This window comes from Homo sapiens, chromosome 7, assembly GCF_000001405.40.
Source record: "Homo sapiens chromosome 7, GRCh38.p14 Primary Assembly".
NCBI classification, from domain to species: Eukaryota; Metazoa; Chordata; class Mammalia; order Primates; family Hominidae; genus Homo; species Homo sapiens.
This window is the reverse complement of record NC_000007.14, coordinates 157478326-157493669: the sequence shown is the minus strand read 5'-3', so window position 1 is coordinate 157493669 and position 15344 is coordinate 157478326. Positions and strand designations below refer to the sequence as shown.

At 49.6% G+C, this 15344-nt stretch overlaps 1 long non-coding RNA gene across 1 annotated transcript in view, besides 2 other annotated features; it reads right to left on the bottom strand.

Annotated features, from left to right (window-relative positions):
* Positions 1-15344, bottom strand: part of LOC101927914 (uncharacterized) — a 33486-nt gene that overhangs the window by 6047 nt on the left and 12095 nt on the right. Inside the window, exon 3 of the long non-coding RNA NR_110157.1 lies at positions 223-337. This is a non-coding gene — a long non-coding RNA (uncharacterized LOC101927914). The remainder of the gene's footprint in view (positions 1-222; positions 338-15344) is intronic.
* Positions 269-469: a silencer, noted in NCBI's record as "peak6872 fragment used in MPRA reporter construct". NCBI's record gives its function as "represses an SCP1 promoter by STARR-seq MPRAs in K562 erythroleukemia cells {active_cell/tissue: K562}" and the evidence as "EXISTENCE:reporter gene assay evidence [ECO:0000049][PMID:32103011]".
* Positions 2841-3135: an enhancer, noted in NCBI's record as "tiled region #4962; HepG2 Activating non-DNase unmatched - State 10:DNaseD, and K562 Activating DNase matched - State 8:EnhW". NCBI's record gives its function as "activates a minimal TATA promoter and a strong SV40 promoter by Sharpr-MPRA in HepG2 and K562 cells {active_cell/tissue: HepG2 | K562}" and the evidence as "EXISTENCE:reporter gene assay evidence [ECO:0000049][PMID:27701403]".

Here is a 15344-nt window from a genome sequence, read left to right as displayed (position 1 = left end):
TTTCCCACTAAGTGGCTGTCGTTGGCACCCCCAGCTTTGACTGCTTCCCGCAGGAATGGCCCTCGAGGAGGAAATGGAGACCACTTCTGTCTGTGGTGTCTGCCTCCTCCCTCCCTCTAGGAGACGTTCTCCTCCCTGGTTTACAGACGGCACAAACGGAAGAAGAAGAAGATAAAAAGCCCAAAGGTGGGAACAAGGTGTGTGTGGCCTGGCCCCACTTGCCTTTCTCTTGTCCTCAGCTTGCACTGTGGCTCCTGAATGTTTGCCTCTTTCCTTCATCATCAGTAGCTCTGAGGCTTCAGGCTCCAATTTGTCCCTGGAGATGTTCAGCATCTTCCTAGAAGGGATATGGTAATGTCCAGAAGCATGTCTGGGACTGGCCCTCACAGGAAAGACACAGCAGAAACGTGAATTTCAGCACCAGCGAGAAGACAGCACCTCACACTGTGTGCCCAAGACAAGCCTTTAGGAACTCTCAGTGCCAGGCAGAACCCAAGCTCCCACACCGGGTGTCTGCCTGTCTGACTGGTTCTACCCGAGATGCCAATGCTGACATCAGTGCTGAGGGCAGCTGATCGTTGTCTTAACACACTTAAAGGGCACCTCCCAGCTATCTGCTGCCCCTGTTCCTCTGGACTGGAGATTTTAGTAACTGCAAGAGTATCAAATTTTATGTTGATCCCTGGAAAAATGTATTAAATGACAGCTTGGGGGTTTGTTTTTTGTAAAGAATGTGCAGCATTTAATAAGACCAGTATTATACAATTCCAAAACAAGACAAAGATGTCACAAGAAAACAAAACTACAAAGCAATATCTCTTATTAATATGGATGCAAAAATCCTCAACAAAATACTAGCAGATTGAATTTAGCAGCTATAATAAGAATTACATTCTATGACCAAGTGGGATTTATCTTAGGAATACAAGATTGGTTGAGCATTTTAAAATCAATTAAGGTAATACCTCATATCAACAGAACAAAAATCACATGATCATCTCAATACATGCAGAAAAAAAGCATCTGACAAAATCCTAACCTCATTCCATGATAGAAATGCTCAACAAACTACTAATAGGAAGTTCTCAACCAGAGAAAGGGCATCTATGGAAAACCCACAGCTAAAATTATACTTCATGGTGAAATACTGAATACTTCCCCACAAAGGTCACAAAAAAAGACAGATATGTCCACTCTCACCTTGCTGTTCACCAATGTATTGGAGTTTCCGGGGCAATTAGGCAAGAAAAAGAAAAGGCATTCGGTTTGAAAAGGAAGACGTAAAACTATCTATGTTTGCAAATAACATGGTCCTATATACAGAAAATCCTAAGGAATTCACTTAAAAACTATTAGAACTAGCAAATGAGTTTGGAAATATAGCATAATACAAGATGGATATTGTAAAAACCAATTTTATTGCTATATACTTGCAATGAGTGATCCAAAAACTAAATTAAGAAAATAATTCCTAGTAAACTATCGCAAGAACAAAAAACCAAACACCGCATATTCTCACTCATAGGTGGGAATTGAACAATGAGAACACATGGACACAGGAAGGGGAACATCACACTCTGGGGACTGTTGTGGGGTGGGGGGAGCCGGGAGGGATAGTGTTAGGAGATATACCTAATGCTAAATGACGAGTTAATGGGTGCAGCACACCAGCATGGCACATGTATACATATGTAACTAACCTGCACATTGTGCACATGTACCCTAAAACTTAAAGTATAATAATAATAAAATAAAATAAAAAGAAAATAATTCCATTTGCAATGGCATCAAAATGAATAAAATACTTGGGAATACATATGACAAAACAAATGTAAAACTTATACTTGGAACCCTACAAAACATTGTTGAAAAACTTTAAAGAAGTTTTAAATAAATTGAAAGACATCCCATGTTCATGGATTGAAAGACTTGACATTGTTACAACGGCAGTGATCCCTAAAATGATCTACCAATTCAACACAATTCCTTTCCGAATCCCAACTGATGTCTTTGTAGAAATCAAAAAGCTGATTCTGAAGGTCATATGGAATTGCAGGAAACCCAGAATAGCCAAAACAATCTTGGAAAAGGAGAACAGAGTTGAAAGACCCACACTTCCTGATTTCAAAACTTACTAAAAAGCAACAGTAATCAAAATAGTGTGGTACTGGCTTCATTATGGATTAGAACTGAAAGTCTAGAAATAAACTGTCCCATCTATGGTCAACTGATTTCCAACAAGGGTGTCAAGACTTCTCAGTGGGGAAAGAATAGTCTTTCAACAAATGATGCTGGGACAACTGGATTCCAGTGGAGCCACCTATAAAACAAGAGAAAAAAATAAAACTGAACCCTTACCTCACACCATATAAAAAAATTAACTCAAAATGGATGAAAGACATAAATGTAAAAGTTAAAGCTATAACATCTTAGAAGAAAACAGGGGGAATCTTCATGACCTTAGATTTGACAAAGAATTCTTTGATATGACACCAATTGCAAAAGCAAAAAAAGAAAATACTGAAACACAATATTTCAAAAAAATTAAAAACCTTTATGCTTCAAGGGATATCATTAAGAAAGTGAAAAGACAGCCCAAAGAATGAAATAAAATATTTTCAAATCTTGTATCTGAAAAGGGACTCATTTCTGGAATACATAAGAAATTCTTACAACTCAATAATAAAAGAGACAAATAATCCAACTTTTTAAATGGCCAATGAATCTGAATAGACATTTCTCCAAGAAAGATATTCATATGGCCAATAAGCACATACAAAGATGCTCCACTTCACTAGTCATCAGGGAAATGCAAATCAAAACCACAATGAGATACCACTTTCCACTTCCTACCCACTAGGATGGCTAGAGTCGAAAAAGTCAGATAACAGGAAGTATTGGTGAGGATGTGAAGAAATCAGAACCCTCACGCCTTGCTGGTGGGAATGTAAACTGGTGTTGCTGCTTTGGAGAACAGTCTGACAGTTCCTCAAATGATTAAACATAGAGATACCATGACTCAGCATGTCAGCTCCTAAGCACACACCCAGAGAAACGCAAAACCTATGTCCACACAAAAATTTAAACATGGCCAGGCGCGGTGACTCACGCCTGTAATCCCAGCACTTTGGGAGGGCAAGACGGGTGGATCACGAGGTCAGGAGTTCAAGACCAGCCTGATCAACATGGTGAAACCCCCTCTCTACTAAAAATACAAAAATTTGCCAGGCACAGTGGCGGGTGCCTATAATCCCAGCTACTCAGGAGGCTGAGGCAGGAAAATTGCTTGAACCTGGGAGGCGGAGGTTGTACTGAGCCAAGATCATGCCACTGCACTTTAGCCTGGGCAACAGAGCAAGGCTCTGTCTCAAAAAAAAATTAAATAAAATGTAAACATGAATGTTAACAGCAACATTACTCATAATAGTCAAAATATGGAAACAACCCACATGTCCGTTGACAGACAGATCAATAAAATGTGGTAGCTTCATACACTGGAATAGTATCAAACCATAAAAAGGAATGACACACACTACAACGTGGATGAAGCTTGGAAACATGATGCTACCTGAAGGATGCCAGACATGAAGGGCCACATATTAAAAACCATCTAATGGTACACTTTTCTTTTTTCTTTTTTTTGAGATGGAGTCTCACTCTGTTGCCCAGGTTGAGTGCAGTGGCGCAATCTCAGCTCACTGCAGCCTCCACCTCCCAGGTTCAAGCAATTCTCCTGCCTCAGCCTCCCTAGTAGCTGGTATTACAGGCACCTGCCACCACACCCACCTAATTTTTGTATTTTTAGTAGAGCTGGGTTTTGCCATGTTGACCAGGCTGGTCTCAAACTCCTGACCTCATGTGATCTGCCTGCCTCAGCCTCCCAAAATGCTGAGATTACAGGCGTGAGCCACCATGCCAGGCCTAATTATACATTTTAAATGTGTGAATTGCATGCACAAGATTTATATCTCAATAAAGCTGTTTTTTAATGTTAGATACAAACTTTTTTTTTTTTTGAGATGGAATCTCACTCTGTCGCCAGGCTGGGGTGCAGTGGCACCATCTTGGCTCTCTGCAACCTCTGCCTCCTGGGTTCAAGCGATTCTCCTGCCTCAGCCTCCCGAGTAGCTGGGACTACAGGTGTGTGCCACTACGCCCAGCTAATTTTTGTATTTTTAGTAGAGACGGGGTTTCACCATGTTGGCCAGGATGGTCTCGACCTCTTGACCTCGTGATCTGCCCGCCTCGGCCTCCCAAAGTGCTGGGATTACAGGCATGAGCCACCATGCCTGGCCCTAAATACAAACTTTTAGCATGTTAAAATCCACCAAACCAGCCCAGTCGGGCTATGTATCAATTTCCCACGGCGGCCATAACAAATTGCCACAAACTGGATGGCTTAAAATGATAGAAATTTACTGTCTCACGGTTCTGGAGGCTGGAAGTCTAAAACCAAAGCCCCTGGAGGGCCAGGTCCCTGCTGGAGTCGCTGGGGGAGGGTAATTCCTGCCTCTCCCGGCCTCTGCTGCTGCAGGCCAGCCCTGGTGTCCCCTGGCTCGCAGATGTGTCGCTCCAGCCTCTGCCTCCATTGTCTCCCGGTGTTCTCAGAACCCTCCTGGGTCTGTGTCTTCACGTGACCTTCAAATAAGGACACCAGTCATTGAGGCAGGGCCCACCCTAACCTAGTATCACCTCATCTTCACCTGAGCACATCTTGTAATGGCCCTATTTCCAAATAAGGTCACACCCACAGGTACTGGGGGTTAGGCCTTGATTATACCTTTTTTTTTTTTTTTTTTTAGTGTAGAGTGCAGTGGTGCTCTCTACACCCTCAGGCACGAGCCACCACACCCAGCTTGCTTATTTATTTATTTATTTATTTATTTATTATTTATTTATTTTGGTAGAGAAGGGGGTCTCGCTATGTTTCCCAGGCTGGTCTTGAACTCCTGGGCTCAAGTGATCCTCCTGCCTTGGCCTCCCAATGAACATATCTTTTAGGAGTACATGATTCAACCCACCACAGGCCGCGAGAATTTGACTGCACGGGTTTCGTCAGTGCCTCCCTCTTTGGCTGGAGGAGCGCCGCTGCTGGAGCACGACGCTGGTGACGGGGCGTGCAGTGAGGTGACGCGGGGAACAAAGAGCCGCCGCCGGAGGGGCTTCGGCGTGCCCAGTGCACAGGCTGCCTCCCTCGCGGGGCCGCTGATTGCGAGCTGAGTCATGTGCCTCTCTGCATTATTTTCTTTGTTTTCATTGATGTGTTTTATGTTCAACGTCAGGCTTGTTTGTTTGCTTGCTTGTTTGAATTAAGGCTTTGGCTCCAGAAACACTGAGCATTCCCGGTGCATTTTCCAAGAACTGTTGAAGGGACTCGACTTTACTTTCTGTTCTCATAACTTAGACTTGGGAATTGGCCCTAGGAAGGGTTTTTTTTTTGGAATGAAGCACTATCCTAACATAGGGGGAAGATTCCATTTCTCAAACCGTGGCCTGGGAGACGTGGGCTTGGGAATTGCTGCTGTTCATACAAACTCTGGCTTCAGATTCCGGGGGCTGCAGCCCCTCCTCTAGGGAAATCTTCACACAGAATCCACACCCCCGAGCTGGGCCACTGCATGTATTACCTTCATCTGCTCTCCCGTGTGCCGCCCCGGCTCTCCCGTGTGCTCTCCCCGGCTCTCCCGTGTTCCCTCCCCGGCTCTCCCGTGTGCCCTCCCCGGCTCTCCCGTGTGCCCTCCCCGGCTCTCCCGTGTGCCCTCCCCGGCTCTCCCGTGTGCCGTCCCCGGCTCTCCCGTGTGCCCTCCCCGGCTCTCCCGTGTGCCCTCCCCGGCTCTCCCGTGTGCTGTCCCTGGCTCTCCCATATGCCGTTTCTGGCTCAAGTCCTCAAGGCAGGAACACGGCTGAGCCTTCTTTGCCTCTCAGCACATGATGGGAACTTTTTTGGATGCTCCGTGAAAGTATCTGTTGGATAAAAGACTCAGCTCATGAACACGTGATGGGGACAGCCGAGTCCACGCCTCGTCACGGCCGCATAGACACTCTGGTTAACGACTCTGGGTCACTCTCATCCACCGTGATATCCGAGAAGCACCCCTTGCTTCTCCAGAACCTGGGCCAGGCCCCTGCCCGCCCTGGTCTTCATCTCCCCTGCGTGGGAACTCGGGCTCCCTCTTAGACCTCTCTTCTTTTCGTGGGTAGCCATGGGCTGCAGGCTCCCTGGGCTGCATCTAGAATGGCCCTCCCCTGGCCCCTCTCCCAAGGCTCTGGGGCCACTGCTGACCTCAAACCTCCCCCCTCCTAAAAGGCCAGGTGTCTCGTGCCTGGTCCGAGGCCAAACTGACCCCAGGGGTGAGGACTGGACCTGGCACTGCAAACCTCCTGATCAGCCTTCCCAGCCCCACCAGTGCAGCCTCATCCTAAAGGAGGTGCTGGGCCACACGGGAAAAGGGGACTTTGACAAAGGGCAGAACATCGGCCCAGTGGCGGAGGACACGTCAGCCCCCCAACTTAACGCGGTGCGGGAATAACAGGGGCTCTAACAGTGGAGAGGGTTGAGAAGGTCAGGAGGCATCATCAGGAGAAAAGCAATATGAATTTCTAAGCAGCAACATCTGGGAGATCAAAAAAATCCTACTTCAATCACCACAAAAATCTCTGCTCATTACACACAATCATATTTAGTTATTAATAGACAGCGGCTAGACACTGACATTTTGCACACTCCACCCGAGATGTGCCGGGGACGCTTCTGGCATGAGGTTTGTCATTTTCATCAGTGTCTTCCACGGATTGACCGATCCAACCCCAAAATCTCACACTGTCACTCATCATAAGTGAATTTATCAACACGTACGTAATCAGAATACACATGAGAGTTTAACTGTTTGCATACGAAATTACTTCATTCTTCACGCTTCAAAAAAATTCAATTTTGCATAATAAATAATGATAAGGGCCAGTTGACAATTATATAGGTGGGAATAGTATGTGGAAATGATTGGAATTTCAATGGGCTGTGTGGATCTATCTGGAGGTTGCCTAAGTAATCAGCCGCCAAGACGGCTTCTCTCCATTGTTGGGGGTTAATACAAAGCTCTCAACTCCTATTAGAGGCAGCCTTACTTAAACTGCAAATTGGCACATATCCTATTAGTATTTTCCTCCTGTGACACATTCTCCAGCTGACTTAGACGCACAGTCAGGCGAATATTAAAATTAGGCTATTATATTTATGCAGAGAAACAGCAGCTTGTCTCAAAAAAATCTTATGGGGACACCACACATACACACACACACACACACCCCTCCAAACAAATGCCACAACCAGGCCTGCCCCACACAAAGGAACCCATCATGCGCTGACCAGCCAACTCCGAGGCAGTGTTTCCCCAGCCCAGAATGCTGTTGAGTGACCCCAGTGTGGATAATCACACCCAAGAGCGAATGAGGGCGAAGCTTGTCCTCACTTCTTCCAAGGACAGCTGTCTCCACGACAGCATGATATGATTTCACTTCTGATTACAATGGTTTAATAGGGGTGTTGTCATTTGGTTCATTAATTAGCTGCATCCCTGCATATTCTAGCCTGGTTATTGCACCCGTGGTTACTGCACAAAAATGACCCTGTCCCCTGCAGCTCTGCAACTCCCTCTGACCATGAGGGCGGGTGGAGGTCCCACGGCATCCACACTATTTTAAAGGGGCGAGGAGTCAGAGGGCTTTGGAAAAAATTAACCTTATTAGTAATTAAAAGACAAACCCACACACTTTTAAGTCATGGTAAGAGCTCTTGTCTGCTGAAGGTGTATTATCTGCAAAATTTCTCCACGGACGTGTTTTCACATTGCTGCCCCCTGAAAATGTGAGACACTTTCTAGTCTGTGATGTGGTGGCCCCTGAGCCCACCCATGGTCAGCGGGCTCGTCCATCTGGGGGTCACGTGCTGCATTCTGGACACTGTTCACCGCCCACCACTTTGAGTCCTCCTGTGCATGCTGCTTGGAGGCTGATGCCACTCTCCACTGATGGGGGGAAGGAAATCAAGACCCTAAGAGAGTAAGATCACCACGGCTTCCGCTGGGTGGAGCTGCCCGAGTACATCATCCCAGCACAGGACCTCATGCCTCCTTTAACCCTCCCATCTCAGGACACCACAGCATCCTGCCAGAGGCTCGTTACCAAAAGGGCGTGCCCGCGTAGGGTCTACACCCCACACTGGGTTCAAAAAGGAAAAACAGGACTCAGCACCTGGGTTTCCACAGATGTGTGCAGAAGTGAATGTTGCCTGCTCCAGACCTCTGCCGGGGGCAGGAGAGGAACGTGCCTGCCTTCAAAACCCGGCCCACACTCAACAAAAAGGGAGATGCCACCACTTAACCCCAAAGAACAAACTGGCAGTCAGTGGAAATAGGAGTGACCTCATAGGAACTGGGCTGTTCATCCAGGAGCGACAGAGGAGGCATTGGGAAGACACAACAGAACATGGTTTCTTAGCACGTTCACTAAAATCCGGCCTGAGACAGGACGGCCCTCGAGTAGCCATGATCCCAGGTGCTAAGACACTCCGGGCTGACCCTCAGCGGCTTCTTCTCTTCCTACACACTTGCACAGGAGAAGGAGAGGCCTGGCTGCATGTGTGGACTCAGCAGAGAGCCCCCGGTGAACCCACCCTTCTGCTCAGAGGGAGGCTACACCCCAGCAGGGCTGGGTCAGCTGTGCACCCCCAGGCACAGGTCTCACGTCCGGGGACTGCATCTCCAACACGACAGCCACAATCAGAGCTCACAAGCGCTCAAGTCACAACATCGGGACGCTGGAGACGTCGCGGCGACAGACAGAGAGCTCCACCTTTCTGCTGGGCGATGCTGCTCTGGTGTTTTGCAGAGCCTGCCACACTCAGCTACCTGGGGTGAATTTCAGTGAAACGTGGTGCCCTGGTCCACGGCTCCAAAACATCACTAACGTGACCACAAGGGAGAAACCCGATGGGGAGAAGACAGCAGGTGCCGGAGGTCAAGAGAGCTCGGGCTGGTAGAAAGCTGAGCAACTCATCGTGGCAGTGACGATCCCCAGGGAGCTGCCGCGGGAGGTGCAGTGAGGCACAGCAGGAGCGCCATGGGTGCTGCGGGGATGCGGAGGTGCATAGGGGTGCAGTGGGCACAAGGGATGCCCTGGAGGTCAAAGTGGGGCGCAGTGGCGATGTAGGAGGGGTGCAGTAAGGGGTGCAGTGGGGATGTGGGGGTGCAGTGGGCTGTCGAGGACCAGTGAGGTGGCCGCCCAGCCACCCACCCCACCTAGAGGGGTGTTCCGTGGGTGTTTTCAGTTCACCCATGCTGGAGAAGCCTGAGGCCGAAAGGCAGGGCGTGGGGAGGGATGAAAGCCTGGGGTGCGGGTGAGGCTGCAGCCTCTGGGAAGCCAACTTGGCTGGAGGTGAGCAGGAGGGCGCTGCTGCCCTGGCTGTGGGATGGGCACCTCCGCAGTGGGTCTCACTGAAGGCCCCGCCAGCCCAGCAGAAAGCCCCGAGGTCAGGTGACCCCTCAGAGCTGCCTGGGTGGGGCCTGGACATGGTGTGCCCACAGTCACGGGACCAGAGGGAGTGGCCCCAACGGGCAGGTCTCTGGAGTTGAGACAATTCCCAAAAGGGGTCAGTAAGTCCTTTACCCTGGGGGGTCTGGGCCTGTAGCACAGCAAGAGATGGGGCCAACCCCTGGACCCCGAGACCCCAAGGACAGCTGTGGGCAGGGAGAGAAGCCTCATGACCAGGGCCACCAGCAAAAGTACACGGGGCTGGGACCCCCCCTCACCCGCACGCGGGGTCGGGAAAACCCCTCGCCTGCACGCAGGGCCGGGAGCCCCCTCACCTGCACGCGGGGCCGGGAGACCCCTCACCTGCACACCGGGCCGGGAGCCTCCCCTTGGCTGCACAGGGTTCCGCACAGGGAGCCGGGAGCCCTCGCCATTGCGTGCAGACGCCAAGCAGCACGGCCCAGGCCGCACAAGGCATCGCAGGCCCCTGCAAGGACGCTGGACTCCCGGGGAGCAGGTCCCTGGATCTGAACCGTGAGGTTCCCAAGTGGGTGTCCGCAAGGGGCCCATGAGCCCTGCCCACGGACTTCAGAGAGCCCCGGCATCAAACCCCAGGAGATCCCTGGGTGCCTGAGCTTCAGGACACAGATCAGTGTACTATTTGCTCTGTGGAACAAAACCACGGGGAGAAGGAAACTAATGGAAAATATCAGCAGAATGTTCAGAGAAATCAGAGAAAATGTGACATCCATGAAACAAAGGCAAGATGCCATCTTACACACCCAAAAGAACGCTCGGGAATTAAAAACAGCCCCGTGGCAGTAGAAGCAAAATCTTTCTGTGGGGGGAGCGGGGAGGGACAGCATTAGGAGAAATACCTACTGTAAATGACGAATTAACGGGCGCAGCACACCAACATGGCACGTGTATACATATGTAACAAACCTGCACGTTGTGCACATGTACCCTAGAACTTAAAGTATAATAAAAAAAATAAAAATTAAAAATAAAAAAAAGAAAGTTTGGAAGACAAAGCTGAGGAAATCTCCAAGTACCAAGAAAAACTGAAAACAGGAGAAAAGGGATAAGAAAAATGCAGAAATCCGTCGAGGCAGCCCCACGAGTTAAATAAACTAGGAGATCAGAGTCAGAGGAAGGGACCAGAGGTGCTCAGAGAAACACCCCGAGAAACTCCCCAAGCCAGGGGTGAGCAGGAGCCCCAAAGGGAGAGAGAGGCTCAATATCCATCCAATGAATGAAACCCACACCACACACACAACACACACACAACACACACACCACACACACACAACACACGACAAACACACACCACACACACCACACACACCACACACACACCACATGACACACACACCACACACACCACACACACACACCACACACCACACACACCACATGACACACACACCACACACACACACCACACACACACCACACGACACACACCACACACACCACACACACCACACACACACCACACACACCACACACATGACACACACCACACACACACCACACAGACTACACACCACACACACCACACACACCACACACACACCACACACACGACACACACCACACACCACACATACCACACACACCACATGACACACACCACACACACCACACACCACACATACCACACACACCACACACCTCACACACACCACACGACACACACCACACACACCACACACACCACACCACACACCACACACACGACACCACACACACACCACACACACCACACACACCACACACCACACGACACACACCACACATATGACACACATCACACACAGCACACGACACATCACACACGACACACAACACACAATACACATAACAGGCACACCACACATACACCACAAGACACACATAACTTCCTACACATAACACACCAGATGACACACATCACACCACACACAACACAACACACAACACACATGACACACACAGCACACAACAGATGACACACCACACATGACACGACACACGACGCACATAACACACATCACATACATGACACAACACACAACACACACACAACACAACACACGACACAATACAACAGGCACACCACACATACACAACAGGCACACCACACATACACCACACAATACACATCACACACTACACACAACAGACACCATAGGACACATCATACACAACACACAACACACACCACACGACACATATAACACACAACACACACGACACAACACATGACACACCACACAACACATGTGACACAACACATGACAACACACTACACACACAACAGACACACCACACACACACACAGATGCGCCACACACAACACATGACCCAACACACAGGACACACGACACACACAACACACACACAACACACGACACAACAGGCACACCACATATACACAACACACACCATGCACACTGCACACAACACACCACATGACATTGCACACAACACACACCACACGACACACAACACAAACCACACACACACCACACATCATCACACACAACACACACACCAGTCACACCACACATACACTACACGACACACACAGGACACACACCACACACACTACACACAACACATACACCACACGACACACACCACACACAACACGACACACAACACACAATAGGCACACAAGCACACCACATACCACACACACCACTCACATACCACAAACACACACACTACAAACAACACATATCATAACACATACCAACACCACACACACACGACACACACCACACACACAGCACACACTATATACCACACACCCCACACACACTTACACACGCATTCACATTACACACCCAGAGTGGTCTACACATGAGTGCTCCACGTAGGGAGCTGTCTACACAGCATGTAGTCTCACAGCTGAAGGATCTGGAATGGGGCAGGTGCCTCTTCCAGTTTTGCTTATTGGGTGGCTCATGGACATCATGTTAGGAATAAGGCGGCCCTGGAGGGACCCTGAGGCTAGGCACTGGGTCTTTTCTGGAAGCCCCTCTTGACACAGGCAGCAGGATTATGGGAATGCCGGACAGCTCATGGTGCCCACTGACCTCCCAGAGTCAGCACTGGCCACGCTTTGCCTCACTGTACTCTCGGGGGCTCAGCATTTCCTGGGTCCCACATCAAATACTGTGTCTCAGTGCCCAGATCCCAGCAGAGCACACAGTGGACAAGACGCTCACTCACGATGCTCTTGGCTCCCTCCCTGAGCTGGGGCAGGACAATCTGGGGACAGGCGTCCTCCCCAGGCAGCAGCGGGCGGTGGTTCTCCCGGGAGTGCTTGGGCTGGACCTGGGTGCAGACCCAGCTCCCCTTGTCAGAGCCCGGTGCCTGGGACAAGAACTCAGCCTCTCTGGGCTTTGCTTCAGTGGCCATTCAGAGCAGACAATCAGCATCTACTCAGGGGACGAGGACCCCCCGCACCCTCAACATGGACCACGCCGGGGATGCGCAGGGGGCTTGGTGCCGACCAACCACACCTCTCCCTCTCTGTGACCGCTGCCGCACACAAGCTGATGTGGCCGTGAGCACACGACCCCAGGGAGCCCGTCCCAAGGCTGATGCTCACAGAGTGTTCACAGACAGAGTGCTCACCCAGACAGAGTGCTCACCCAGAGTGCTCACCCACAGAGTGCTCAGAGTGCTCACCCACAGAGAATGCTCACATACAGTGCTCACATACAGAGTGCTCACAGGAGTGCTCACACACAGAGAGTGCTCACCCACAGAGTGTTCACACAGAGTGCTCACATACAGAGTGCTCACAGAGGAGTGCTCACACACAGAGTGCTCACCCAGAGTGCTCACATACAGAGTGCTCACATACAGAGTGCTCAGAGTGCTCACCCAGAGTGCTCACCCAGAGTGCTCACCCACAGAATGCTAACCCACAGAGTGCTCAGAATGCTCACCCACAGAGTGCTCAGAGTGCTCACCCACAGAGTGCTCAGAGTGCTCACCCAGAGAATGCTCACATACAGTGCTCACATACAGAGTGCTCACAGGAGTGCTCACACACAGAGAGTGCTCACCCACAGAGTGCTCACACAGAGTGCTCACATACAGAGTGCTCACAGAGGAGTGCTCACACACAGAGTGCTCACACACAGAGGCGTGCTCACACAGAGAGAGTGCTCAAATACTGCTGATGTATGAATAAAGTGAGAACAGTTCCCAGAAGTATGGCCGGGCATGGTGGCTCCAAGTTGGGTGGATCGCTTACGGCCAGGAGATGGAGGCCAGCCTGGCCAACATGGTGAAACCCTGTCTCTACTAAAAATACAAAGAAATAAAAATAAAAATTAGCCAGGCATGGTGGCGGGTACCTGTAGTCCCAACTACTCAGGGAGGCTGAGGTACAAGAATCGCTTAAACCTGGGAGGTGGAGGTTGCCATGAGCCTAGATCGCACCACTGCACTCCAGCCCGGGCGACAGAGCAAGCCCTGTCTCAAAAAAAAAAAAAAAAGAAAAAGAAAAAGAAAAGTTCCCCGAAGTGAAGAGAGAGAGGAGCTAAAAGCCACAGTGTTCCTGGACACCGCACTGCCCGAGCACTGCAGGGCTCCCTGCCAGAGCCACGGGTCTTGCTGACCTGTCCAGGAGCAGAGAACGAGGCCTTGGGGCCCTGCAAAGATGAGGAGGCTGAATGTCAGCGCGGTCAGACAAACGTGAGCGGAGGGACCACTCTGCAAAACAATGGACTCAGACTCTTCAAAAATGTCACCGTCACGAAAAGCAGAAAATAAAAGGCTAAGGAATTGTCGTAGAACAAGAAAGGACACCAGGAAAGCTAAATGCAGGTGGATTGAATGTTTGATTTTTAAAAAGAGCTACGAGGGAAATTACGGAAATAGTGAAGAATGTTGAATGTGGCTGATATCAAATCGTAGACATGTAGCAGCGGAAAATTTCCGGCACATGGAGCCTGTCTTTGTTCTCAGGAGAAACAACTCAAGTGCAGTTGGCCTGTGAACAGCACAGGTGTGAGCTGGGCAGGTCCACTGATACACGGGTTTTCTTCCACCAAGACAGCACAGCCAGCCTCTCCTCCTCTTCCCCTCCTCAGCCTGCTCCACCGGCAGACGGCCAGAATGAAGACCTTTATGAGGATCCACTCCCATTTTAAGAACTGTAAACGTGTCTTCTCTTCCTTAAGATTTGCTTAATAGCATTTGCTTTCCTCTAGCTTACTTGTAAGAACACAGCATACGATACACATAACATAAAAAACGGCCAGGTGCGGTGGCTCAGGCCGGGCGCGGTGGTTCACGCCCGTAATCCCAGCACTTTGGGAGGCCAAGGCGGGTGGATCACTTAAGGTCAGGAGTTTGAGACCAACCTGGCCAACATGGTGAAACCCTATCTCCACTAAAAATACAAAAATTAGCCGGGTGTGGTGGCACGCGCCTGTAATCCCAGCTACTCAGGAGGCTGAGGCAGGGGAATCACTTGAACCCAGGAAGCAGAGGTTGCAGTGAGTTGAGATTGAGCCACTGCACTCCAGCCTGGGCAACAGAGTAAAACTGTCTCAAAAAAAAAAAAGAAAGAAAGAAAGAAAGAAAGAGAGAGAGAGAGAGAGAGAAAGAAAGGAAAGAAAAAAAGAAGGAAAGAAAGAAAGAAGGAAGGAAGGAAAGAAGGAAGGAAGGAAGGAAGGAAGGAAAGAAAGAAAGAAAGAAAGAAAGAAAGAAAGAAAGAAAGAAAGAAAGAAAGAAAGAAAGAAAGAAAGAAAGAAAAAAAGAAATATCAGGTATGTAAGGACGTGTGGCCTCTTTTTCATCTTTAT